Here is a 27,832-nt window from a genome sequence, read left to right as displayed (position 1 = left end):
TGTGATAGTTCTAGTAGTATTCATAATGAGTAATCTAAATACATTTCAATTAGAGTGGAAAGATAAGTATCAGTACCTAATGTACTTAGTGGTTGAATAACTTTTACTTATTTTATCCCTTATCACCTCAAATGAGTCAGTGTGTACTTAAAGTAAACTTTTGTATTCTAAAAGGAAGATTTTTTTTACCAAGTAAGTTTTTCTAAGTTACTAATTTTCTTACATGTCAACTGACTCTTAGCTACTGTTTTCATTTTTCATGAAAGGGAATATTTAACATCCACTTTTCAGTGACAGTGAAATTTTAACTCAAAATATCAAGGAACAAGTTACCTTCAGTATAAAGATTCGTATGTTTTTCTGAACTGGTACAACAAATTCCTTTTATTAAATACAAATTTTATTTAAAAAATTCCTGTAGCCCTTTTAAATTCTAGTATACTAAAAGCAAGTATTTTATAACATACTAATATGCCTCTTGAAAAATGATTAGTATAAAAAATTTCTTAGAACATAACTTGATTCAATAATTACATTATAAGCCATGCACTTAAGCAGTATTGAATCACTTTTCAGTTTTTAGCAGTCAAAGTAAGCACCCTCAAGATGGCTAAAATCCTTTATGTTCTGAATATTTATGTAATCCTTTGGCAGTGAAAACCCTGTGTCTGATAAGTCTCAGAGACAAACTGCTACTTAGAATTACAGGGGTTCACTGTTGTCCTCAGGATTGACATTTCTTTAGTCTTGTTTCTAATTAATATGTAGACAATTCTGAGAACATCTGTGATAAAAAATGATGATACAATGGGGGCTTCATAACTGAAATAAGACACAATGAAATCTACAGGGTTTATGTTTTATATTCAAATATAACCTTATTGATGGTATACTAGCCTCCTGCACAGGGGGATTTCCTTCACTCATAGATTCCCCTAACTTCATCTCCTCTTTTCCTTGGGCTATTAGTCAGTCAATATGCTTGTGAACCTGTTCAGGTGCTTGATGACATGCAGTCTTGAATATATTTAGATGAAGGTGTCTTGAAATTTGCAGGCACAAAGCACTAAAGTATATCACCATATCAAATGAAGAAATCACCTTTAGAAGCAAAAAAGAAAATATAAAATCGATTATGATCTATCTTTTCTCAAGTAGCACTATTCTGTTTCTCCCCCAAATATCAAACCTTAACCTAAAATTCTTCACCAAAAATACTACATTTTAAAGCACTTTAATACATTTCAAATTTGGACCTCACTGTAGTCCTCTGGAAAATGCAGGTTATTTCACAGTTATAGACACTGAGGCTCAGAGGTAAAAAAGACGACTAAAATACAGAAACTAGAAAGTAACAGAACCCAACTCTCCTGACTCCACATTGTTTCAACTTCCTGCTGTGCCACGAAGCTGCAAATTTCCTTCTAGAAGAAGTTATCAGTCATCTTATAATGAATTAATTCCATCATATACATTTCTGTTTCTTTGAGGTTAGTTGTAAGAAGGTAAAAGGTCTAGAAAAGATACCATACTTGAAGCATATACAGAATTGTGTTTACAAATTTAAAGATGGCCTCTATTTAGAAACTTTGCCCAGAGTCTACAGTCAAATGCTTCTCTTCAGAAAATGAAACCCAGGAGAAAAAGGAGACTCATAGCTCTGCCCTTGGAGAGGGAATTCTCACCCATGAGGGGAAAATCTCTATCATTTATGTTAAAAGCTTACTTGAAAAGTACCACATTGTGTGTGTGGCTTTTTTTTTTTTTTTTTGTCATCCACATAGTGTTTTAAATAAAAATTGAATTTGACTTCCTCAGTTTACCAGTCTCCATCACAGGTGTAAACCAGGCCAATTACTCGTTACGACAGATGATTGATTTTTTTAACACCTGGTATTTTAATTCAGCAATTCCACTTGGTAATACATACCTAAGTTCACTAAAAGAAAACTTACATTGAGTTTTTAGATATTTTGATTAATTATCCCCTATTTTTTAAACTGGATTGTTTGGGAGCCCTAAAAATATTTATAGTGGATACCAAATTAAAGGACATTATTCTGATTTTTAAACATTTTTTTTTTTAATTTTGCCTGAAAACGTTCATTGTCCACCTCAAAGAATTAAGTATATCTCACTGCCACCATAGGAAGAATGAAGACTTCTGAATGGACTATGAATGAATATTACGTTATTAAGTTACTCCAGAAAAAGCATACTACACAACCTAGTAAGGGACCATTAGATGTACTCCTGTAATCCATGCACAGAATAGATACAGATTTTTTTAAATATCCAACTCTAACAAATACGGTGAGATTATTTGAATTATCAAAAGATTCACTGCAGGGTTTTGGGGGGTTTTGTTTTGGTGTACTTCGGTATATTTATATATCACTATGAATTTGGTGACAACCAGTGGGTCCAGAGATAGAAATACAAGAAAACTATTCAAAGCCACCATTAATTGGAGACCAACCATAAAGATATGTCTCAATAGAAAAAAAATGTAATAATGCTCCATTTATCCAACTTTGTAATTGAAGTGTTACCAATATTGATTTTCTTTTCCTTAGATGGCTAACGTGTCTCTCTCAAGCACTATATTCTGTATTTTATAATCATTTTGAATAGAAATTATGTCATCCACGTCGTTTCCTTAAGCAGGATATAATCAAAGCGAATTTAATTTAATTGATGACTGAGTCATCATTAATACAAATTATACACTATCCTCAAGGGCCATACACATAAAAAGGGTTCCTTACATCTAGCATAAAATGGTCTGAGAATCCTGTATTTAGTAGCACTGTCTATTCTGTTTTGTTTCCTCAATATTAGCTGACAATTCTCGATGCAATAAAGTGCCCACCTTTGCTAGTACTAACCCCATCTAATTTTCCTGTTACTTGCTGTAAACTGGGAATAAAGTCTTTGGGCAGAGTAAAGTGGTTTTTGGCATCTTTGTACTGGTATTTTGGGGGAGAAAAATATAGCTATTTTTAGGTACACAGTTGTGTTTCCAAGAATCCAGGTTGTTGGAAACCTGGCCTATAGATATGTGGCCATTTCTACACACAATATAATATTATTCACAGCTTAGAAGAAGTAATTTTAAATACTCAGAAACATTTATTGTATATATTGTATAGACTAGATCTTTTTTTTTTTTTTTTGAGACACAGTCTCGCTGTGTCACCCAGGCTGGAGTGCAGTGGCATGATCTCGGCTCACCGCAACCTCTGCCTCCCAGGTTCAAGTGATTTGCCTGCCTCAGCCTCCTGAGTAGCTGGGATTACAGGGATGCACCACCACGCCTGGCTAATTTTTTGTATTTTTTGGTACAGACAGAGTTTTACCATGTTGGCCAGGTTGGTCTCAAACTCTTGACCTCAAATGATCCGTCCACCTTGGCCTCCCAAAGTGCTGGGATTACAGGCGTGAGTCACCACGCCTGGCCTAGACTAGATCTTGAGGCTACTGATAGCTCACTGAAATAGCTCTTAAGCATTGTTAAAAAATAAATAAAATGGAGAAAAATACTTACCATTGCCATCCATAGAACAACATATTCGTCTATAAAGTTATTAAAGTACTGGTCTAAAAACAAAAGACCTGGCCCCAAAAAGACAGTGTCTTGAAGATATAGTTCACTTTTGGTCATGTGAGCTACCTATAAAAAAATTAAACAAAATAATTTTACTATTAAGTTTTAAATGTGTTAGCTTTTACGACAGAATTAATTATAACTTTAATTCAGTATTAAAACAGACCATTTAATCTCACATTTAAGAATACTTTTCTACACCTTCTCAAATTCACAACTGGGTAGCTTATTAAAGTTTCCAGTGTTTAAATTTCTTGATATCAGAAAGTTGTAAATGATAACTACAGCTAAACAATTTAACTGAATATAACTCTTATCACAGTTTTGCTTGGAGCACAAATAGCTAATTATTATGATTTTACACTACAAAAGAAAACCTATACATTTTATGAAATAATTTCCAGCTTTGTGTTTGACGACTAAGTATATTATTTATATCATGAATAATAAAAATTTCTTACCACTAATTTTTGTGAGACTTTAGCAAAGACACATCCAAACATTAGGATATAAAGACAAGGATGCTTTTCAAACACATCAGTTGCTGACTTTTTATAGATCATTATTGCCAGTATAATAATTAGTCCTATGTGGAGTCCAGGTGACAAGACACTGGTGCCCTAAGGGATAAAGCAGAAAATCAGTATCACATTTTAACACTGCATTTATTACAATGTAGACATTTTCTGACCATCTATTTTGTGCAAGAGGCCTAAAGAACAGTGTGATGTAGTGTATGGCCTACAGGAGTATACAAACCTGAGTTGTGCTTTCCAAGGTTTCATAGAACCTGAGGGTGACAGAGACATAATACAGTGCCACAGATGTCTGATTCCAGTTTGATATTCACACACGTTTTAAACTGGCTAAAAATTAATGCAGTTTATTCTATATCAACTTTTACTACATCGAAGGCAGTCCACATGTGGATTGCCAAATTAACATAATTTTGTGGAGATACTGAAATAGAGCTTATTCTGCCAATTCTACAAAATATCACTGATGAAGAAGAGTAAGAATAGTTTAGTTCTATTCAGGTTTCCTTCTTTTTTCCTATTTTCTTTTTTTTTTTTTTTTTTTAATTTTTTGTGTTTTTAGTAGAGACAGGGTTTCCCCATGTTGCCCAGGCCAGTCTCAAACTCCCGGGCTCAAGCGATCCTCCCAGCCTCAGCTTCTCAAAGTGCTGGGATTACAGGCGAGAGCCACCACACCCAGCTTATCCTAGTTTCTTTCTACACCAACATCCCCACCTCCTTTCTTTTTGCATTCAGACTGCAAATGTTCTTTTATGTAAAATTGTAAAATCCAGACCATTACATTTTTATCTATGTGAATTAGTATCCTCTCGGCACTGCTTATCCTAAATAAAATATTGAAATAAATTTGGTATTGAGGTTATTAAATCTATAACCAATTTAAATGGGTTCACAAGAACAGCTTTACTCTTGTTTATTAAGTTTACATGTTTTAAGTTAGAACTTACTATAAAATTACAGTAATACCATATTATAAAATTATATACATGACACTGTATAGTAATAAATTATAAAAATCTAATAGTGCTTTATATTATGATTCTTAAATCTCATTCAAGAAAAAAAATCTGCTCCTAAAAAAGTTGGAAAAATACCAGTTTAAGAGTTTGAAACCAACCACTTCCTAACTTGTGTTTAAGTCATCCTTCAAACATCTAACAGTTTTTTTAATGAAAATATTCTTTTTTTTTTTTGAGATGGAATCTAGCTCTGTCACCCAGGCTTAAGTGCAGTGGCATGATCTTGCCTTACTGCAACCTCCGCCTCCCAGGTTCAATCGATTTTCCTGCCTCAGCCTCCTGAGTAGCTGGGATTACAGGTGCCCGCCACTAAGCCCAGCTAATTTTTGTATTTTTAGTAGAGACAGGGTTTCATTGTGTTGGCCAGACTGGTCTTGAACTCCTGACCTAATGATCTGCCCGCCTCGGCCTCCCAAAGTGCTGGGATTACAAGCGTGAGCCACCGCATCTGGTCAAAAATATTCTTTAGAGTAGACAATGATCATTACTACATCTTGTTTTCTTCAATGGAACTTAACGTTCCAACTATTGTTCTATGTTATCATCCACAGTCAAGCAACATGTATTCCTAAGCACAGTACTATACTGAGATCAACTGACAAAACACCTCAAAAAATGACAACTTTTCCAAATATATCAGAACTTATATTTCTAGATGAATTGTATACTTTGCTTTTGAATTATGTATATAAAGTGTATTCATAAATATTGACAATTTGTCAATTATGAGGATCCCTTTGAAATTGTCTCGAAAGTCTACTTACACGTCTTTTAAAAGAATGAGACTTTTTTTTACTAAAAATGCTATATCTAATGTTTAATATCTTATTAGACCTTGCTCCAAATGACTTTAAAGGATAGAAATTTTGAACTATACAACAAAAGAAATTAAAGTGAATATGCTATAGTTTAAAGCAATCCTAAAAAGGCATTCTTTTTTTTTTTGAAACAGAGTCTCGCTCTGTCACCCAGGCTGGAGTGCAGTGGCACCGTCTCAGCTTACTGCAACCGCCGCCTCCTGGTTCAAGCAATTGTCCTGCCTCAGCCTCCCAAGTAGCTAGCTGGATTTACAAAAGCATGGCCACCATGCCCAGCTAATTTTTTTGTATTTTTGGTAGCGACAGGGTTTCACCATGTTGGCCAGGCTGGTCTCGAACTCTTGACCTCAAGTGATCCACCTGCCTCGGCCTCCAAAATTGCTAGGATTACAAGCATGAGCCACTGTGCCCGGCCCTGAAAAAGGCATTATAACAATGGTTTGGTATAAGATGGTATCACTGGAATAAGTACTTGTCTTCTTCTGTTCAACTACCTTGAAAATGACAATAGGCTTTTTAAAAACATAGGTGTTATATTTGTTTAAAAAGTTTGCAGGAATCCCAACTCTTGCCCACTTAAAAGTACTGAAGTTTTAAAAAACAAATGTGAAAAAATACAAAAGCATTATATTTAATACTTGCATGAGCAAGGTGTAAAGAACACAAGCACAAAGTATACCCACTTAAGAATTAAAGTTAAAATTTTACCTTTTGAAATATTAGAATAGTTCTTTTAAATATATTTCAGTGAAATTTCAATAAAATTTACTTGATGAGTAATAAATCCCCCCATATGTGAAACCATTGACCTCTGGCCACTTTCCTGCTTTCAATCAGGAACTCATACATTCCCTACCCTTTCTCCTCTCTGCTATTAGTTCAAGGCACAAAATGCAGGAAAACAAATGGCAACTCTTAATTATGTGCAGTAATGAAACTAGATGTCAGAAAAGTCTATGCAGAGCAAGCTTGTAGAAAGAGGAAAATATCAGTTTAAACTGTTTTTAAAATGCTTTTGTACTATGTGCCTAAAATGAATTCTTTAAGATACTTAGTTTCCTTCCCCATTCTTGAACTTTGGCATATTTTAATCTTTTTATAACTGGTGATAAGAAAATGTATCATAAAATTGACACTGAATGATGAAATTATTGCCTTACTGCTATAGTGGATCCATTCTTGCCAACACCACCATGGAGGATAACATGGAAATAATTTGAACAGGAAAATATTACTCCACCTAGAAATCCAAGAACTGGAAGGATCTTCAATTTTATTTCTAGAATAGGAATCTTTAGGGGTAGAAGAAAGAAACAATTAAGACAACAGAATTTTGGTTTTTTATTAAATAATAAAGAAACATAATGATAAGCCCTGTACAATAAGCTATCCTTTTTCTTGTGATCAAACCTTAACTTCTGGAATATAATCCAAAGTGATAACTTAAAAACTTTTTTTTAACTTTTTTTTTTAGTTTTTAAATTTTTATTATTTTTTGTAGACTAGCCAAGTACAGTAGTGAGGGGGGAAAAGAGAAGAACAAGGAGTTTGACCTGTAACTGACTGTGAGCAATCAATTGAGATAACTGACTACCATTGGACCAGCCTAAAGTGACTTTTTTTTGAAACTGCTTTCTTCATAAGTGAAAGATGAATCCACCAAACCAGCTTAGTCTGTTTATATAACTATGACTAAATGTTTAATCTCATAAGATTTCATCTGACTTAAACATGAAAAAGGATAGTTCATTTGAATTTAGTAGCTTCTAAAAAGTAGCATCACAGGAAAGGGAGACACCATGATTTGCATCATAAATGTAACAAATATCATGATGTGTATGCAAGCAAAACATCTGTGTAGTTAATATCCAGGATTAAATCTCTAGCAATATATTTACCTGTTGGTCAACTGCTGTTCAAGAAAACTTCCAAAGGCAGCAAAGGATTTAAAAAACAGTAACAATGAATTGCCAGAAGCTAGAGGCTACTATGTTTAGAAAATAGACTGAAATAATGTACCAAAATTTGTGGAAACTACAGGTTAATAATTAAATTTAGAAAACCTGAATCAAAAGTAAGCATTCTTGTTGGTAAGAATAAGCAGGTATGTTTTCTTCCTACGATATTGCCAAAACATTGAGTGAAACAATTTTAAGATTCAATTCCAAATTTAAGACAACCACACCTGACTTAATAACTAGAGTTGTCTAACTGCTTCTAGGTCTACATTTACCTTCTTTTTTTTTTTTTTTTTTTTTCTTGAGACGAGTCTCTTGTCGCCCAGGGCTGGAGTGCAGTGGCCCAATCTTGGCTCACTGCAACCTCTGCCTCCCAGGTTCAAGTGATTCTCCTGCCTCAGCCTCCCGAGTAGCTGGGATTACAGGTGCCCATCACCACACCCGGCTAATTTGTGTATTTTTAGCAGAGACAGGGTTTTGCCATGTTGGCCAGGCTGGTCTTTAACTCTTGACCTCAGGTGATCTGCCCGTACATTTACCTTCTTACGGGCACAACCTGAACAGTTACTACAAAAAACGCATAGCATCCCTCTGTTATCTTGTATGGGCCTATAGTAGCATATCCTTGATTCTATTTACTCTTACATGATGAGAGGGAATATGAATGTATTGAAGAATCTATCACTACTACTTAAAAACATGCCCAAAGTCTATTTCGGAGCCTACTGACAAATGATAATTGGCAATTCTGATACTAAATGCTACAGGGAAATCTTTTTTTTTTTTTTTTTTAAAGATGGGGTCTTGCTGTGTCACTCAGGCAGGAGTGTAGTCAGTGGCATGATAATGGCTCATTGCAGCCTTGAACTCCTGGGTTCAGTTGACCCTCCTGCCTCAGCCTCCTGAGTAGCTGGGACTACAGGTGCATGCCACCATGCCTGGCTAAAGTTTTACAGAATTTTTGTAGAGGCAAGGTCTTGCTAAGTTACCCAGGCTGGTCTTGAACTCCTGGCCTCATACTGTGTTTTTAATGGACTTAATTTTTTAGAGTGGTTTTAGGTTTGCAACAAAATTTGAGTGGAAAAGTATATAGCCACCCCTCCCTCTGCCAACAACATCCTACACCAGCGTGGTACGTTTGTTACAACTGGTGAACCTACATTGACACGTCATTATCACCCAAAGTTCATAGTTTACATTAGAGTTCAATCTTGGTGTTACACATTCTGTGTGCTATGACGAATGTATAATGACATGTAGCCACCATTTAGTATCATACAAAATAGTTTTACTGCCCTAAAAATTCTCTGTGCTTCACCTATTCATCCCTTCTTCCTCCAACCCATGGTAACTTCTGATCCTTTTACTGTCTCCATAATTTTGCCTTTTTAAAGAATGTCATATAGTTGGAATCACACAATATGCAGACTTTTCAGATTGGCTTCTTTCTCTTAGTAACAAACATTTAAGGTTCCTCCATAACTTCTTGGAACTCCATAAGTTCCTCGCATAACTTCTTTTCATGGCTTGATAGCTCATTTCTTTTTAGCATTAGTTTATCCAGCTAAGATGAAGGACATCTTAGTTGCTTTCAAATTTTGGCAATTATGAATAAAGCTGCTGTAAACATTTGTGTACAGGTTTTTGTGTGGACATAAGTTTTCAAATCATTTAGGTAAATAACAAGGAGTGTGACTGCTGATCATGTTTACCACAAAACTATGTTTAGTTTTGTATCACTTACTATTTTTACTAGATATATAGCTTAGTGATTACATACAGTCTGGAATCAGTCTGTTTAATTCCTAGCTCCAGCACTTCTCATGTGTCCTTGGACAAATTACTTAATCACCCTAAGACTTATTTATAAAGCATAATACTAATAATATCTATTTTATAGGATTGTTCTGAGGGGCAGATAAAACTGAGGGGCAGATGGTGAATGTTTAGGAACATAAGTATTGAATGACTGTTAGTTGTTGACTATTGATATCCTTATTATTATTATTCTTAACACTATGAGCAGAAAGTGTGAGTCAGTTAGCCAGTATGGTGGACTTACGTTGTGGTAACAGGACAACTGTTTCTTCAGAAATGTTCTTCTTTTGCAAAAAAGCTTGAATTTATGACAGTGGCCTCCTAAGAGCCAACTTTTATGAAACTACTGAGGTCACCAAGCAGGCAGAAAATAAAAACATTCCTTAATATGGGAATCTTCACCTCAAAGTAGATTATAAAAATGCAAATTAACTACTTTCCTAATATTGAGTGACAAGTTTTAAATGTAAAACATTTTACTGGATTTATTTTTAAAATATTTATTTTATTTCACCCTGGAAAAAGTTATTCCAATGTGTGTTTTTTGTTGTTGTTTTTGTTTTATTTAGTATTAGGGAAATGAGGTTGTCTTCTTCTATGTGGCAATATACTCAAGCATAGGAGGAAATGCCATAAGGTATATAGGATAATACACATTATAAAATGAAGAAAAAAATGTTAAGAAATGGAACAAATATTAAATACACCAATTAAAAAAAAAAAATTAAATACAATGCCAAGGATTTTTGAAGAAAATTAACAATGCAATACTTTTTCCTAAATATTTGAAAAGTACTTAAATATAAATTTAAATATTCAGATTTACCGTATAGTCCCACATTGTTGCTCCTCCAAATGCAGACAACACAAAGACAATCACTAAAGCTATCTGAATTTCAGTTACATCCACTCTAAAGAGGAAGGACAAAGAATAGATAAGGTGTTTGTAAATAAAATTCCTGAATATGGAGGTTCATCACATATTAAATAGCAAAGATGTAAAAATCTCTGTAGGCTTAGTTTATTTTTACCTTTACTTCCATTATTGAATTATCAGTTGACTACACTGTTAAGTTAAAAAAGTTACAGAACAACATGTGCTCACACATAGGTAACGGTATATGCAGAGGGAAAAAAATATATACCATATATCAAATTGCTAATAGTTATCACTGATGTTATAAAGACTTTTATTTTCTAATTTATGAACTCCTGTAAAGTCTGAAGTTTTTTCACAATAATTACCCACTACTTGTGTACATAAGGAAAAATTATAATAAAAACAACCATATGATTTAAGGCAAATTTAAATACTCCCAGGTCAATTTCACTTAAAAAGCAGGGAAAATTCCAATAGTCTTCTTTATTGAGGTACTAATAGTCACTGTAGTTTTTTTAGTTTCCATAGACATTTTTCCCCTAGTAAATATGCTTAAATTTCTCAAAAAACCACTAACCAATCAGCATCAGTCCCTCTAGTCTGCATTCCCCTGAAGCTGTCACTCTCTCTCCTATGCTCCACGAATAGGCTCACTGAAAATTAGTCAACATTTGTAATTTTCTCCTCTCTTCACGTTTGTTGCTTAACACACTCTAGTCTGGCTTTTGGCCCCATTATTCTACTAAAATTGTTTAAGGTAAATTGACCTTCAATTTTCAATTCCAATTAAAGGATACAAATCTAAGGGATACATTTCATTAATTATCTTGCATAACTTCTTTACAATATTTAAGATGCTGATCATACCCTCTTTCTTGAAAAGCTCTGCTGTGTTTTTATCTATTCCATGTTCTCTCCTGATTTTCCTACCTTGCTGGAGCTCTTCTCACGCTCCTTCCTAGACTGCCTCTTCATTCATATCTTAAATGATGCTTTCAGAATTCCATCTGGAATTCTTATAGTCTATGAACAATTTTATCTATACTTAAAACTACCATCTATATGCTAATGACTTCTAAATCCTTATCTCCAATCTACATTTTTTCCTGAGCTGTAGATTTTTATATCTGTCTACATACTTTACATCTCTGCCTGGATGCCCCAATGTCTTTAGATGGAGGTAATACCCACCTTACGGGATAAATGTAAGGAATAAATAAGATAATGCCTGTGAAGCTCTTAGTACAATGCCTGAAACATGTAAGTGCTCGATAGGTGGTAAATACAATTATTCCATAATTGAGAATCAACTGCCTGAAGCCTGCCCTCTGCTAAATGATCCATAGTTTTAAGCTTCTCCTATCATTTATCATTAGAGAGTTTTTTCAGAGCTACTGTTTCTCCTTTTCAGCAATAAAGTGGGGCTAAAAAGAATCAGTAGGCATGGGAAGCCAAAGCCAAAATGAGCAAATGACAAAGTTCTTAAAAGGATCAGACCGAGAGGGAACTATATGAAAAAGAGGAACAGAGAATAGTATTCCTGCTTTGTGCACTATTTCCTGGTCTCTAAGAAAGAGGCAACAGAGGCAGATAATACTATCTAATGTTTAGCACTAGCATTTACAAGGTGCTTTTACATTATCTCACCAATTGCCTACCACAGTTGAGAGTCTCACAATTACCTGATGCTGGTGACTGTTGTCAAGGCGGGTCCCCTTTCTGTGCACATGAAGATTCGACCAAAAAAGGACCTTAGACTCCACACTGCATTATTTTATTATATGAATCAAATGCTTATTTAAGTACTGCATATCCCTTTTCTATATTATTCAGGTCCCTTAATTTTCTTTTAATCCTCTCTATTGTAAACTTGGGCTAATGATTAAGTTGGAGAAGAGGAGAAGAAAAATAAAATTATTATCAAATAATGTAACTATTTATAACATGCAGAGTACCTAAAAGACTTAAGGTGTAGCATTTATGAGTACTCCGACGAATTAATTTAAGTTACTGATTGAAGATTTGTTCTCCTTATTATCGATGAATGACATAACAGATTGTGCAAATGAATTCAATTATATTTTTTAATGTACAACTTAAAAAGCATACTTACTTTCCAAATCTCAACATGCCTGAAACATAAGTCTGCCAATGAGCGCAATAAAACACAAACATCCCAATAAAAGAGCAGAAAAAAAACCAGTCAGGATAAGTTCCTAAGCGAGCGGCAATTGAAGCTCCCACTGCCATAAATACTGAAAGAAACAAAGTTTAAGAATCATTAAGAATTAAAAATAATTTATGAAATAATTGCCCTATGCTGTTTAGAAATACAGAGCTCTAAGGAAATAATCATGGCATTAAAATAAAGTACACTTATCAAAATGAATTCTTGACATACTTTTTAAACAACTCCATACATTTGCTCCCAAATGTATATCCATCCAAAAAACTGACCAAACAGCTCAGTTCATTTTATTTTTAAGGTATCATAAAAAAATAAAAAACTCCACTAATTTACCTGTGGAAAGAGAGTCACAGCCATGGTCAAAGAGCTCCCCTAAAGGGGAACAAGAGTTTGTTCTTCTGGCTTGTTTCCCATCAATAGCATCCAGTGACTGGTAAATAAAAAGTCCCAGTGCACATAAAAGGTATGTCCAGTATGGTGCCTATAAAAAATGTAAATAAAATAAAGATTGTTAAGTGATAATAAGCTTTCTGAAAATAGCTCAACCTAAGGCTTCACACTTTGTAGCACCCCGTGTGTTATAAAGAACATTTCTAACCCTCATTCTACAGATGCGAATTAAATTGAGAAATCAAATTAACTGCTTTAAGTCATCTAGGTAGAGGGTCACAGAAGTCCACAATGTAAGAAACACAAAGTTAAACAACTGAGTAAGGATTAGGATCCTGATCTTGATTCTTACATCCATGGCTCTTTTAATATAATACTATGCATTATGCCACAGATTTGAAATTACTCAGTTAAATTTTTGCTGTGAAAAAAGACCTTAGGGGCCAACTGCCAACCTCTGCTTCCATTCACAATGGAGTATCAGGGACTAGATTTGCTCTCCCACCTTATATAACTAGAAAGGCAATAAAATATATTTTTAAAAAAACAAAAAACAAAAAACAGTTTTCAAACATTACAGGCAGTGCAGGCTTGTGATCCCTCACAGAAGGGAAACAAATGAGATGAGCCCTGCGACTGCTCCAGCTAACTTCCCAGAGTCAGTTTCCAGGCCACAGTGCAGGTCCCATGACCAGAACAGAGTCCAGCAATCATGCTGTGTTTAAGAGAAACACAAAGTTCAGGAAGGTCAAGGCAATTAGGATTTGTGAGGCAGAGTGCCTGAGAGGACAGAGCTGCACAGAGAGAGGAGCATAAGTTGTGGACGTCTTACGGAAGGGTATCTTTCCGTCTTCGGCTGAGAACTCATCTGTGCCTGAATGAGATGAAACTAACAAAGGCCAGGGAGAGAAGCACTGCAATGTTGAAGGTCAGACAATTCTCAAAGCTCATACATGGCTGGGACATTCATGTTCCCACCAGGCAAAGCAGAAAGCCTCATTAATACTTGGGGCATTGGGTAAAGTTCTCAGAAGTGTACTGCCTTACCAGCAGGCATAAATTAACCCTAGACTGAAGGCTTCTCTGGACAGCCCTAACAAAACTTAAAATCCAGCCTCAAAAGGATCCAAGTAATTCCTGGCAACTTAACTACAGCCATCATAAAGTACATCTTAGGGGAAAAAAATCTAGTATCCCAAAGGTAAAATTCACAAGGTTTGGCATTCAGTAAAAAATTACCAGTCATGCAAAGAAGCAGGAGAATATAATTGACAACTAGAAGTAAAATCCATATAATCAGAATACAATCAGAATCAATATGAACAGAAGTAATAGAATTAGCAGATGAGGATATCAAAATAGTTATTATAAATATGCTCCACATGTTCAAGAAAGTAGAGGAAAACAGGAAAATTATAAACAGAAATGGAAGAAAAGACTCAAGTGAAATCTCCAGAAATGAAAATTACAATATTTGAATTGTAAAATAAACTGGGTGAGATTAACAGCATATTAAACACCACAGAAGAAAAGATCAATAAGCATGTACCAATGGAAACTATCCAAAATGACGAAAGAAAAACGACTAAAAATAATTGAACTGTGCATCGGCGAGTGGTGGGACAACAGAAAGCAGTCTAGCACATATGTAACTAGAGTCTTAGAAAGAGAAAAGAGCGGATGGGGCACGAAAAATATAAGAAGAAATAAATGATGAAAAATGTCCAAAGTTGATGAAATCTATAAACCTACATGTCCAAGAAGCTCAACAAACCCCAAACAGAATAAATATTTTTTAAACACCCATCAAGGCACATCGTAATTAAATCAATGAAAACTAGTAGTAAGCAGAAAATCACAGTCCAGGTTCGGCGGCTCACACCTATAATCCTAGCACTTTGGGAGGCCAAGGTGGGCAGATTGCTTAAGCCCAGGGGTTCAAGACCAGCCTGGGCAACATGGTGAACCCCATCTCTACAAAAGATATAAAAATTAGCCTGGTGCGGCGGTGTACACTTGTAGTCCCAGCTACTCAGGAGGCTGAGGTGGGAGGATCACCCAAGCCTGGGGAAGTCGAGGGTGCAGTGAGCAGTGAGTGCCACTGTACTCCAGCCTGGGTGACAGAGCGAGACCCTGTCTTGAAAAATAAAATAAATAAAATATCATATTCAGTTCCAGTGAGCACGTTCTTAAAAGTTTATCTTGGAAACTGTGAAACAATTTAAGAAAGGGCAAACAAAACTAAGCAGTCATCACGACAGTACAAAAATGAAAAACAACACATCCCACCCAGAATCTTTTGAAAGAATCCCAAAGTGTCTTACAGAGAACAATTCTGTTAACCTAGTAAATTCTTTTCAAACTAGTAAATTCTTTTTTAAAGATAAATTTTATTATGTATACAACATGATGTTATGGGATATGTAGATAGATGGAAACGGTACTAAACTGAAGCAAATTAACATATCCATCATCTCACATAGTTACCCATTTTTTTGTTTTTGTGGCAAGAGCAGCTAAAATCTATTCATTTTACAGTTCAATTTTTTTAACCTATACCCCTCAGGTTGTACATAAGATCTCTAGACCTGCTCATCTTGCAAAGCTGTAATGTATCCTTTGACCTGCCTCTTCCCATTTCCTCCCCTTTATGCCCCTCTGCTCCTGATAACCAGTTTCATTCTCTATCTCTGAATTTTTTTTTCAGATTCTGTGTATACGCGAGATCAAGATCATACCATATTTCTCTTTCTGTGTCTGGCTTATTTCACTTAGCATAATGTCTCCCAGGCTCATCCATGTTGTGGTAAATGGCAAGATTTTGTTCTTTAGGGCTCAGTAATATTCCATTGTGCATACTACAGTTTCTTTATCCATTCATATGTTAACAGACACTTAGGCTGTTTCTGTATTTTGGCTATTGTGAATAATGCTACAATGATCATGGGAGTGCAAGTATCTTTTTACGGCGATGATTTCATTTCCTTTGGGTATAGTTTTACAGTTTTTGTTCTTATATTTAGGTATTTTATCCATTTTGAGTTTATTTTTGTATACAGTGTAATATAAGGTCCAATTTCATTCTTTTGGCCTATGGAAATCATTTTCCCAGCATTATTTATTGAAGAGACTATCCTTTCCCCATTGTGTCCTCTTGGGGCCCTTATCAAAAATTAGTTGACCATATCAAACTAGCAAATTCTTACCCATTTTTTCTACTATGAAAAATTGTTTTTAATTTTGATGATTGAAGGAAAGCAAAGTTACACGTCAAACATATGTAAAATTGGACATTGAAGTTATTAAAATTTCTGTAATGACAAAATGTCAGAGGGATCTTCCATTTCTCTATGTAACTCTTTATACTGAAAATCTGGATCTTCTCAAGGAGAACTCTAAAAGTCAACATTGAAAGCTTAATTCTGACCTCTGATCTGAGAAACTAGCTACAGGCAGGTCTCATGGTCAGGTATTAACAGAAATTCATACTGAAATAAATTTGATTAACCCTTACACCACAACTGGTGGTGACTCTACCCCAAATTATATCCCGCTCTTAATTTAGAAAAGGGAAATGAAGACTGTTCACCAGTTTAAAAGTGCTTCATTAGGATACTAGAGGCGTTTAAATAGGGAGAGACTGGGAATGTAAACAGAGAAGAGAGGAAGTCTAGGCAGAAACCAAAGTTTCTGACTGAAAGTGAAAGGTTTACTGGAGTCAGTGACTAGATCCATGTTCCTGGAACAGGTAATTTACAAGAGATAATATTGCAAAGGTAATGTGATCTTCAACAGTACAACAAAGGGCACTTCTTTTCTTTCCTTTTTTTGTTCTTGAGACAGGGTCTCGCTCTGTCGCCCAGGCTGGAGTGCAGTAAAGGATCTTGGCTCACTGCAACATCCGCCTCCCAGGCCCAAGTGATCCTCCCCCTCAACCTCCCAAAGTAGCTGAGATTACAGGCGCACGCCACCACACCCAGCTAAATTTTTGTATTTTTGGTAGAGACAGGGTTTTGCCATGTTGCCCAGGCCGGTCTCCAACTCCTGACCTTAAATGATCCACCTGCCTCAGCCTCCCAAAGTGCTGGGATTACAGGCGTGAGCCACCACACCCAGCTGATAAACAGCATTTCTAATGTATTATTTCAATTAATACAGAAATCCACAGAGATAGGGCAGTTATTATCATATTCTTTTTATTAAAGATGAAAGTGAAACATACGGAGGAGTGATAATTTACATCAAGGCAAGCACTTAGGCTGGGTCCAGGAACTAGATCGGGTCTTCCGACTTGCCCTTCGATGAGATTTATCCTACCACAGGCCACACAGACTGAATGGAACTTTTCACCTGAAATCTTCACAAACTCCCTATTCCATCAAACCTGCTGATAAGCACTTTCCCCCTCACACAATACACTTTCAAGTAGCAGTGAGCCACAGGAAATGGTGCCAGCCACAAGAGTCTTTCCTTTAAACCCAGAAAGGCACAATGATCTGCCAATATTTGGTTCACTCCTTTTCCAATTCTTCCCAAATCCTTCCAAGTTTTCCCAGTCTTCCCAAGGCCTCAGGAGCCAGACCTATCTTCTCTTTTTCCTTTGGTCACCACCTCCATTCCTAGGTGAAAGCGATTAAATAGGTTGCATTTTCTCACTTTTTTTCTAACTTGTTATCCCTGCAAACAGGCTGGGATTTATTTGGCCAGGCACAGCAGAACAACTTCCTTCCAGGTATCCCTTTCCAAAAATGGTACAATTATAGATTAGACTTTTTTTTTTTTTTTTTTTTTTGACACAGGTCTCACTCTGTTGCCCAGGCTGGAGTGCAGAGGCACATGTTGTAACCTCAGACTCCTGGGTTCATGCAATCCTCCCACCTCAGCCTCCTCAGTAGCTAGGACACTACAGGTGTGCACCACCATGCCTGGTTAATTTTTTAAATTTTTTGTAGAGACAGCATCTGGCTATGCTACCCAGGCTGGTCTCAAACTCCTGGCCTCAAACTATCCTTCTGCCTCAGCCTCCCAAAATGCTGGGATTATAGGCGAGTGCCACCGTGCCTAGCCAGAAGAGACTCTTCATGGAAACGGGAGCTACAGAGCCTCCCTAACTCAATTCTAGTTTTCATGTTAACTTATTTTCAAAAAAGTTAAATGTAAGGATGAAAAAGCCACCCTTGGATTATGAATTATAAAGCCATAAGCAATGTTTGTTAGAAGAGATCTATTCCAAGTAGTAGAACTTCTCTAGGTAATATTCCATTCTAACATTTAAAGTTTTTATGGCTGGATGTGGTGGTTCACACCTGTAATCCCAGCACTTTGGGAAGCCAAGGTGGGCTGATCACTTGAGGTCAGTAGTTTGAGACAAGCCTGGCCAGCATGGTAAAAATCTGTCTCTATTAAAAATCCAAAAATTAGCCAGCTGTGGTGGCATACTCCTGTAATCCCAGCTACTCAGGAGGCTGAGGCACGAGAATTGCTTGAACCCAGGAGGCAGAGGTTGAAGTGAGCCACTGCACTCCAGCTGGGGCAACAGAGTGAGACCCTGTCTCTAAATAATTAAATAAATGAATAAATACGTTTTTAATTATATAGTTTTCATAATATCTACTGTATCCAAATTTAACAATGTTACAGAACTCTTTCCAGGTCAAACACAGAGATCCACATCATTCTTTTTAATGACTGCATGGTATTCAATTATGTGGCTATATCATAATTTAAGTAATAGCTTCCCTAACAATGAATTTTACTTGATATATTAAATTTCATATAAATTTATTCTAGAAAACAAAATAACTACTAAAAATCAATCATAACCCCTTGTCATTAAAAAAAAACCCACTGATTAAAATTTAAATTGTTTTTCAATTATACACTGAAAAAGAGCTGTATAAAATACATATTTGGGAAATTTTAGCTTTTCTAGTTATTTGAATTATTCATAGGATTCTATTCATTACAGGATTAGATAAAACTAAATTATGATTTTAAAACTTCCTCAATGCTTTCTGACAACACTGTAACTATCGTATAGAAGCACAAACAAATTAAACTGACATCCTAGCCAGGAAGTCATACACTCCTACCATAGTCTCAAAGACACAAAGCTTATACTGGAAAAAAGCAAACAGCAAGTCTGATAGTCCATTAATTTATTCAATTTTCACACATGATTTACTCTTCCAGAAAACATCCAGAGGTGAACTGCACCTCTGACAAAATCCTGTATGCTCTCTGCATTCTCTGGAAAAAGGCCCATAAGTATAAGAATCTTAACGTTTCCATATTAAGAGACGGAACTACGCAGTGACTGAAGGAGAAAGATTGAGGTGAGAGAGGAGGCATCTACTTCTCTTCTTCCTTGCCCACAACCCTGTAACTCACTGAGAAACAGCACTAGTACCTTCATCTTGGTCTCCCTAATCAAAGCCACCTGCCCCCCACATACCCAATCCAAAACTCCAAAATTAAGTCTTCCCTTTTCCTTGCCTTCTCACCTTAAATATTTCATTTTCTAAGGCTGAACTGATTAAAGCACAGAGAGGGCAAGGATTGTGTCTTTCTCACTCACCCCTACATTCCCAGTACTCTAGAACATTACTCTGGCACACAGTATATGTTTAACCAATATCCCTCAATTAATGGACCAAGTGTGACAATAAAGGTGTTTGTGCAAAAATAATTTTCTATTTGTATTACAGGAGATTTAGGGGAGAGCCTTCATGGGCTTAGTTTAGGAGCACACCAAGGAGCACATGAGTTTAGGAACAGCTCTTCTGGCCACTCCTAAACTAATCTTACCACAAGCTCTTTACTCACTGATAAGAGTCTCTTTGCAGCATAACTCTCAATCACCCACCTTCATACTCCAGCTCCATTCCACCCACAAAGTCCTCTTGTTTATTTATGACTTAATACTGTCTCATGGCTTTTTCCTTTCTAAACACTCTTCTCACCCAATTCAGCAAAGCACTCATATGCCCCCTCCTTCAAGGACTGCCTGATACACCTCTTACTCCACCTACAACTTCATCTAGGGAGAAATCAAAGGACACAAACCTACCTATCTCCAGTCATTCCATTCCTACCTACTCCCTTAAAAATACACCTTCTACAAATATTTTTCAGGGTTAAAGCAGTCTTTGCAAATATATAGGCCTTCTGTTGTACAAAATATGCTCATTAGATGGTTAGTACCTCAGGTATACAAATATAAGGAACTACATGACAATGATGTTCATGACTTTATAACAATGCACTGTTTCTGTTGTCTAGTTTCCTTGATTTTAAATGATTTCACAGGTAGCAGAACAAATTTAAAAAGCAAAGCTTTGAAATTATCATCTTTAGTTAATGAAAGTAAAGATCTAATTTAACCAAGGGAAGTAATTCCACATAAGTCATTAATTGTTTCATAATTATAGCCTCCCATTTTTTCAAATAAGAGTTGTGTAATTCCATTTTCTGTTGCTATAACAGAATACTAGACACTGGGTAATTTATAAAGAAAAGACTTATTTGGCTCATGGTTCTGGAGCCTGGGAAGCCCAAGAGCATGGCACTGGCATCAGGTGAAAGCTGCATGCTGAGATCCACTGAACTCACTGGACAAATTTCACTTACAGCCTCAAAATACTGATTTTTCTGGAACATGTTCTTAGGTCTTCTCTAAATGAAAATGGTAGACTAGATAGTTTCTGAGGTATGTTTCAGCTCTAGATCGATGTGATGTCATTTGTATGTGGCCCTATCTTTCATATTAGAATGTGATCCTCTCATGGGCATGAGACACGTATTCTATTTTTCTTTCTTTTTTTTTTTTCTTGAGACAGAGTCTCACTCTGTCGCCCAGGCTGGAGTGCAGTGGTGTAATCTTCGCTCACTGCAACCTCCGCCTCCCAGGTTCAAGTGATTCTCCTGCCTCAGCCTCCTGAGTAGCTGGGATTACAGATGTGCACCACCACACCTGGCTAGTTTTTGTATTTTTAGTAGAGATGGGGTTTCACCATGTTGGTCAGGCTGGTCTCAAACTCCTGACCTTGAGATCCACCCACCTAGGCCTCCCAAAGTCCTGGGATTACAGGCATGAGTCACCGCACCCAGCCACGTATTCTATTTTTAAAAATCTTCTGTAGGAGCTAAATACGTAGATGATGAAAATCAGGCTGGGTGTGGTAGCTCACCACTTTGGAAGGCTGAGGCGGGCAGATCACTTGAGGCCAGGAGTTCAAGACCAGCCTGGCCAACATAGTGAAACCCCGTCTCTACTAAAAATACAAAAATTAGCCGGGCGTGGGGGTGCATGCCTGTAATCCCAGCTACTTGGGAGGCTGAGGGGGGAGGATCACTTGAGGACAGTAGGCCAAGGTTGCAGTGAGCCAAGTGAGACCCTATCTCAAAAACAAACAAACAAACAAACAAAACAAAAAAGCAATGGGAAGAATACATGCCCCAGGTTTTTCTTGCAGAGTGGTTAGGGGCATAGACTCTAGACTCTACTTGCACCCACATTTGCTCTGCTACTTACTGGCTAAATGAGTTGGATGAATCACTTTACAGTGCCTTAGTCTCTCCATTTGAAAATGGTAATAATCATTGCTCCTCTCTCATTGTGAAAATTAAATGACTTATCACATGTAAAATGTTTATAAAAGTGCTGGGCATATGGAAGGAGCTCAGTATTTGTTACTGTTACTGTTATTACTGATACTCCATCAGATAATTTTAGGTGATCTGTAGGTAAACTTTTCAATTGAATGTTTATGTTTATTTTAATATATTTTGAAAAAATTTAATGTATTTTGAAAAACAGGGCCAGGTGCGGTGGCTCATGCCTGTAATCCCAGCACTTTGGGAGGCTGAGGTGGGTGGATCACCCGAGGTCAGGAGTTCGAGCCCAGCCTGACCAACATAGTGAAACCCCATCTCTACTAAAAACACAAAATTAGCCAGGCATGGTGGTGCACACCTGTAATCCCAGCTGCTTGGGAGGCTGAGGGGGGAGGATCACTTGAGGACAGTAGGCCAAGGTTGCAGTGAGCCAAGTGAGACCCTATCTCAAAAACAAACAAACAAACAAACAAAACAAAAAAGCAATGGGAAGAATACATGCCCCAGGTTTTTCTTGCAGAGTGGTTAGGGGCATAGACTCTAGACTCTACTTGCACCCACATTTGCTCTGCTACTTACTGGCTAAATGAGTTGGATGAATCACTTTACAGTGCCTTAGTCTCTCCATTTGAAAATGGTAATAATCATTGCTCCTCTCTCATTGTGAAAATTAAATGACTTATCACATGTAAAATGTTTATAAAAGTGCTGGGCATATGGAAGGAGCTCAGTATTTGTTACTGTTACTGTTATTACTGATACTCCATCAGATAATTTTAGGTGATCTGTAGGTAAACTTTTCAATTGAATGTTTATGTTTATTTTAATATATTTTGAAAAAATTTAATGTATTTTGAAAAACAGGGCCAGGTGCGGTGGCTCATGCCTGTAATCCCAGCACTTTGGGAGGCTGAGGTGGGTGGATCACCCGAGGTCAGGAGTTCGAGCCCAGCCTGACCAACATAGTGAAACCCCATCTCTACTAAAAACACAAAATTAGCCAGGCATGGTGGTGCACACCTGTAATCCCAGCTGCTTGGGAGGCTGAGGCAGGAGAATCACTTGAACCCAGGAGGCGGAGGTAGCAGTGAGCCAAGGTTGCACCACTGCACTCCAGCCTGGGCAACAAGAGCGAAACTCCATCTCAAAAAAAAAAAAAAGAAAAATAGCATATCATATCTATGATTTTATAAATATTAAGTCAGAGTAAGAGTCTAAGTTTTTAAAAGAGTTGATTTAAAGTTGACATAAAGAAAAATAGTAAATAAAAGCAAGTATAGATAATATATAAAAGAAAAAATCTTCCCAAACTAGGAAATACTAGAACTATACAATGTTCATTACGTAAATTTTTATACTGAAAAAAAACAAAAACAAAACAAAAAAACCTCTTTGCTTGAAATGGCCTTGGATGAATTGACATCTATGCAGAAGGGAATTAGATAACCAATAACCATTAGGTCAGCTGGTAACAAGAAGATTTCAATTATCCAAACATTGACTTCTTTCTTCATAAAAATAGAAACTGCATTTCTAAGACATAGGAAGAAAGGACATTAGAAGACATATTGTGCATATGTGAAAAACATGTAATGCGAGTATGCTGTTAAAGGTAGACTTTCTACCCAGACAGGTGACTCTTAAGATTTTTTTTTTCATTTCATTATTCCAGGGATCACAAGAGATTCTACGATTTTTAAAAGAGAATTTATGGAGTTTCTAATAGACTGCTAACCTGACTCTGGAAGACATAAGAAGTAGAAATGACTGATTGCTCCATTCCTGCAACTGCTCTAACCCAATAAGTGCCTAAGATGTGCTTATGACATTGTTTACTGGGAGCCTGTGATGGGGAGGGTGCTTCTTTGTTTACGGAGGGAGGGTTCCCACCTGAGGCCTGGGGAGGCTCCAGAGGAGCCTTGGTGGTCAGAAAAGGTAAAACCACTCTCTGCCAAGCCAATGAGGAAGGCCCTAGGGGCTCACTGCTTTCGACCCAGACCTTTGGTCTTGGCTCAGTTTAGGAACCAGCATTTGAGAAGAGCACATCCATTTTTAGGAAATTAGGCAGGTTATAAGCTGCGGCAAAGGAAACCAGACAGACATCGCACATAAATGCAGTTAAACCAGCACTTCAGGGCCAATGGGGTTTTCTCATGACCTGATAAATCTGTACTTTGAAAGCTGGCCTTTATTTTTATATTCAGTGTGAATCATTTTGGTTTTCTTTCTTCTTTAATACTTATTAGGGTTCTTGTTGAAAATGCCAGCCTGTCACTGTGCTAAGGGGAACAAAAAGAGAGAGGGGTGTGAAGAGAATTCCCCTGAGGCCAAATCTATCATCCACATCAACTGTACTGGGTTGCTTCTGTTCTGTTCTTCAACTTCGCAAAACCCAAGTGGTCTGGTTGTAGCCTTCTACCCCAATCAAATGCACCAGGAGGAAAATTCAAAGCTTCTTCTAAATACCACGATGCCACGTTTTATCCACACTTGAACCAGAATTTGAAAGGAGAAACAGTTTTATTCGTTAGGAATTAAGTATAGTGAAGCCATAGGAATCAAGGGAAGCTACCTCCACATTATCTGAAGAGTCTCCTTCTAGATGGCCGGGGACTAAGGGTGAGGCAGGGAGGCACCATGGCTGCAGAAGTTAAGGAGACATTCATTCTCACAGTCCTGCAAAGGCCTCCTTAAATTTTGAGTCCTGGCTTGCCTCACCCTAAGTCCCTCCCTGCTTCTATCTCCTGGAAATCTGGAGTTCACATTTTGTTTTAATGAGAGAGGTCACGCCCTTACAAGAGTCCTGCCTTAATAAATGATGCTTGAAAAGTTACTGAGCTGGTTTAAAAAAAGTGGGAGTAAAAGAGTGCTTAAAAAGGAAATATACTAGATCTCAAAGAAATCAAACCTATAAAAAAAAGTCTGAGTAGGAATCTAAAGGTTATTTCCTTTTCTTTCTATTATTCCCCCCAAAATAACTCTATAATATGTAATACAAAGGCAATATGTAGTACAAAGATAACCTTAAGAAATGGTTTATTCTGTGTTTAAAATATGAGTTATTTAAATAAGTTATTTAAACAGAGAATAAACCATTTCTTAAGGTGTTTCTGGCATGCTCAGGTATACTTACTTTTCAGTTCAACTCTTTATCATCATAAACACAAGAAATGCATTAATTAATGCCCTTTGACCTGACCTTAAGCTAGGCACTTGTCCCTGCCATAAACATATTCTTAATAAAGACACTGACATGGATTTATATGCACAGATCACGAAGACAGGGCAGAAACATTTAATCAGATATGTAATAGAGAATGGAGTAACAGTTTATACCAGTCAAACACAAGTGCATGGAGTTAGTAGGAGAGACTGCTACTAGGCTGGAGTTAGAAGAACTAGATTCAAATCACTGGGTTATCACATATATAAATGTAGGAGTTACATTAAATAATCTCTAAGGTCCTTCCAAACTCTAAGAATCTGTGATTCTATTTTAAGATTAGGTAGCCAAGGAATGGGGGCCAGGGACTACCTACTTAGGGTGATGTTCAGATAGAACTGCTTCATCAAAGTGAGGAGACAAAGTTCTTGTTTTCTCCATTTGCCCTAACACTTGCTTACTCTACTTAAAACTACCAAGGCCAAACAATTGCTAGGTATTTAACCCAAGAACAGCTAAAACTGAATAAGGGTTGAAAAACATCATCTCTTGACATCACATTGTGTTATTTCATTCCTGCAGCCAATAATTTAGAAAACAAACAAATGTTTGTTTTCTAAATAATTGCATCTGTTTGATGCAAAATTATAAGCATCTGTTTGATGTAAAGCACTGTGCTATAGAGATTATACAAATGAACGAGCAATTGCTGTCTGAACTTAAAATCTGGTAAGTTGTCCTGCTCAATAAGGACACAGACAACCAAAATAAAACGGTAAAGATCCACAGGAGAGCTACAAAGCCCTACAAAGGAAGCATAGCTTCTGGCTTGGAATCCTGGCCCCCACTTAAAGGTATGTCACTCTAGAAGAGGTTAATTTTCCTTCAGTTTCCTCATCTATAAAATGATGATACTAATAGTACCTTATTCATAAGGTTGTTGAGAGGAGTCAATGAAAGAATAAAAGTGACTTAAAATCATCCCTGATACACAGTAAAAATCCAGTAAAAGTTAGTTATTGTCATTATCATGGGAATTCAGAGTGGTTGATTTGACTTAGGAAAAGGAAGATAACTTTCATAAGGATATAGTGTTAGAATTGGGTATTGAAAGATGGGTACATAGTTGGATAACTGGTACAGAAGAAAGGAAGAGGAAGGGGAAAAGAGAGGGATAAGAAGGAGAGAAATCCTTGTTATAGTAAGAAGTTCAATTTGGCTGGAGTACAAAGTTCCTTATTGGAAATGATGGCTTGAAAAGCAGTTTGCAGAAGCTAAATATAAATCACAACTTTTTTCTATTAGTTTCCCTTTATCCCCAGTCATGTTCTAGAAATTAGCATCATGCTTAAAAACGTATCAAATGTTATTATTCATGCACTCAGTATTAAAGCCTATATGAGTAGATAAGCCCAAGCATCTAAATCGAAAAACCTTATGTGTTTTTGCTGACTCTTTCTGGAAGCAATCTGTCAAGTCTGAAAAAAACACTAAGAATTCTTAAGTCTGAGAATCAGAAAACAAGTCCCAAGCCAGTTGAAAGTCACTTGACATCTCTGGGCTTCAATTTCCTCTTATGAAAACATATACTACTGTTACTTCAGGATAGATGGATAGAAGAAATACTGAGGTGGTAGGAGGGCCATTGTAGGAAGCGGAAAACTTGCTAACCTCTTTGGCTGATAACAAGACACAAATGCAACCATGGATGTGAAAGCACTTTACATATTTGTATTATGTAAAACATAGGATCTTTTTATTTTTGAAGTCATACCAACTTAGATCTGAATCCTACCTGATCCAGTCATTTGCTAGTTCTATGAACTTAAGAGAAAATAGCCAGAAACTGCTACACTCTTCACACTGTTGCTGGGCTTTCACCAAACAAGCAATGTGGATCCTGTAATGGCGTTTCCCCTCCCTGCATCAGTCACTCAGAAGCATATGAAGGTTCTAGTGACATACATTTCAGAAACTCTTGTTTTTAACTCTCATTTACCCTTCTTGGGCCATTTGATTTTGCACTTTATTTTTAAATGCCTCCAATCCCCACCCTCCACCCTTTTTTTTTTTTTTTTCACATGAGGCTGATCCTAAAAACTAATTAATCATAAACGTACCTCTTCCATCAGGCCTCCCTTTACTTCCCTAGGCAGAAGCTCTTGACTTTTTTGGTAAGCCCTGCTCTTTCTAAGTGTTCAACAAATGCTTCTTAAATTAATAATAACATTGAAGAGTCCACAACTTAACTGGCCAATATCAGAAACATTCAAATGCTGTTAGCTAAATCTGGACCCAATCAAAACTAAATTTTATTATGTGTTTTCAGGATGTTGTCTGATAACAGTAATATTTTTAATGTGTTGAGTGATATTTTTAATTTGTTAGGCACATCGCAATCTTTTACATTTATCTGCATATATATCATTTGGTCCTCACTGCATCCTTGTCAAGTTGTTTTGGCAGGCATTATTTTCTATTGTATCTGTGGGAACACAGACCCAGCAGGTCTGTGGTGGAAGAGCCAGTTAGAAACCAAGACCTCCACTTCCAACCCAGCTATCCTTTCATTCTAACACACTCCCTCTGGTAAATTCTAGAAACAGGCAGCAAAACAGCCAAAAACTAAAGCAGCTTACTTTTTCATATGTAATATGTAAATGAATAGCAATGGCAAATGACAATGGGAATGTCTATTAAGAAATATATAATAAGCCTGGCGCAGTGGCTCACTCCTGTAAATACCAGCACTTTGGGAGGCCGAGGCAGGCGGATCACTTGAGGTCAGGAGTTCGAGACCAGCCTGGCCAATATGGTGAAACCCCGTCTCTACTAAAAA

At 36.7% G+C, this 27,832-nt stretch overlaps 1 protein-coding gene and 1 pseudogene across 5 annotated transcripts in view; both read right to left on the bottom strand.

Annotated features, from left to right (window-relative positions):
• Positions 1 to 27,832, bottom strand: part of CHPT1 (choline phosphotransferase 1) — a 31,435-nt gene that overhangs the window by 1,680 nt on the left and 1,923 nt on the right. The window contains exons 2-8 of one of the 5 annotated variants that reach the window (XR_245946.3): positions 13,158 to 13,305; positions 12,750 to 12,891; positions 10,583 to 10,667; positions 7,141 to 7,272; positions 4,069 to 4,227; positions 3,548 to 3,673; positions 898 to 1,101 (exon numbers count right to left, since the gene is read on the bottom strand). Coding sequence is in view for 3 of the 5 variants with exons in the window: in NM_020244.3 (NP_064629.2) it covers positions 991 to 1,101; positions 3,548 to 3,673; positions 4,069 to 4,227; positions 7,141 to 7,272; positions 10,583 to 10,667; positions 12,750 to 12,891; positions 13,158 to 13,305 (903 nt within the window). In the remaining 2 variants the exon portion in view is untranslated. Of the gene's footprint in view, positions 1 to 897; positions 1,102 to 3,547; positions 3,674 to 4,068; positions 4,228 to 7,140; positions 7,273 to 10,582; positions 10,668 to 12,318; positions 12,512 to 12,749; positions 12,892 to 13,157; positions 13,306 to 27,832 lie in introns of those variants that run through there. The other 4 variants (NM_020244.3, XR_001748818.2, XM_011538574.2 and 1 more) reach the window with 4 other exon arrangements.
• On the bottom strand, positions 7,477 to 7,587 carry RNY1P16 (RNY1 pseudogene 16; annotated as a pseudogene).

Source organism: Homo sapiens, chromosome 12 (assembly GCF_000001405.40).
Source record: "Homo sapiens chromosome 12, GRCh38.p14 Primary Assembly".
Lineage (NCBI taxonomy): Eukaryota > Metazoa > Chordata > Mammalia > Primates > Hominidae > Homo > Homo sapiens.
Note: the sequence above shows the minus strand (reverse complement) of the source record. Positions and strands in the feature narration are given on the sequence as shown.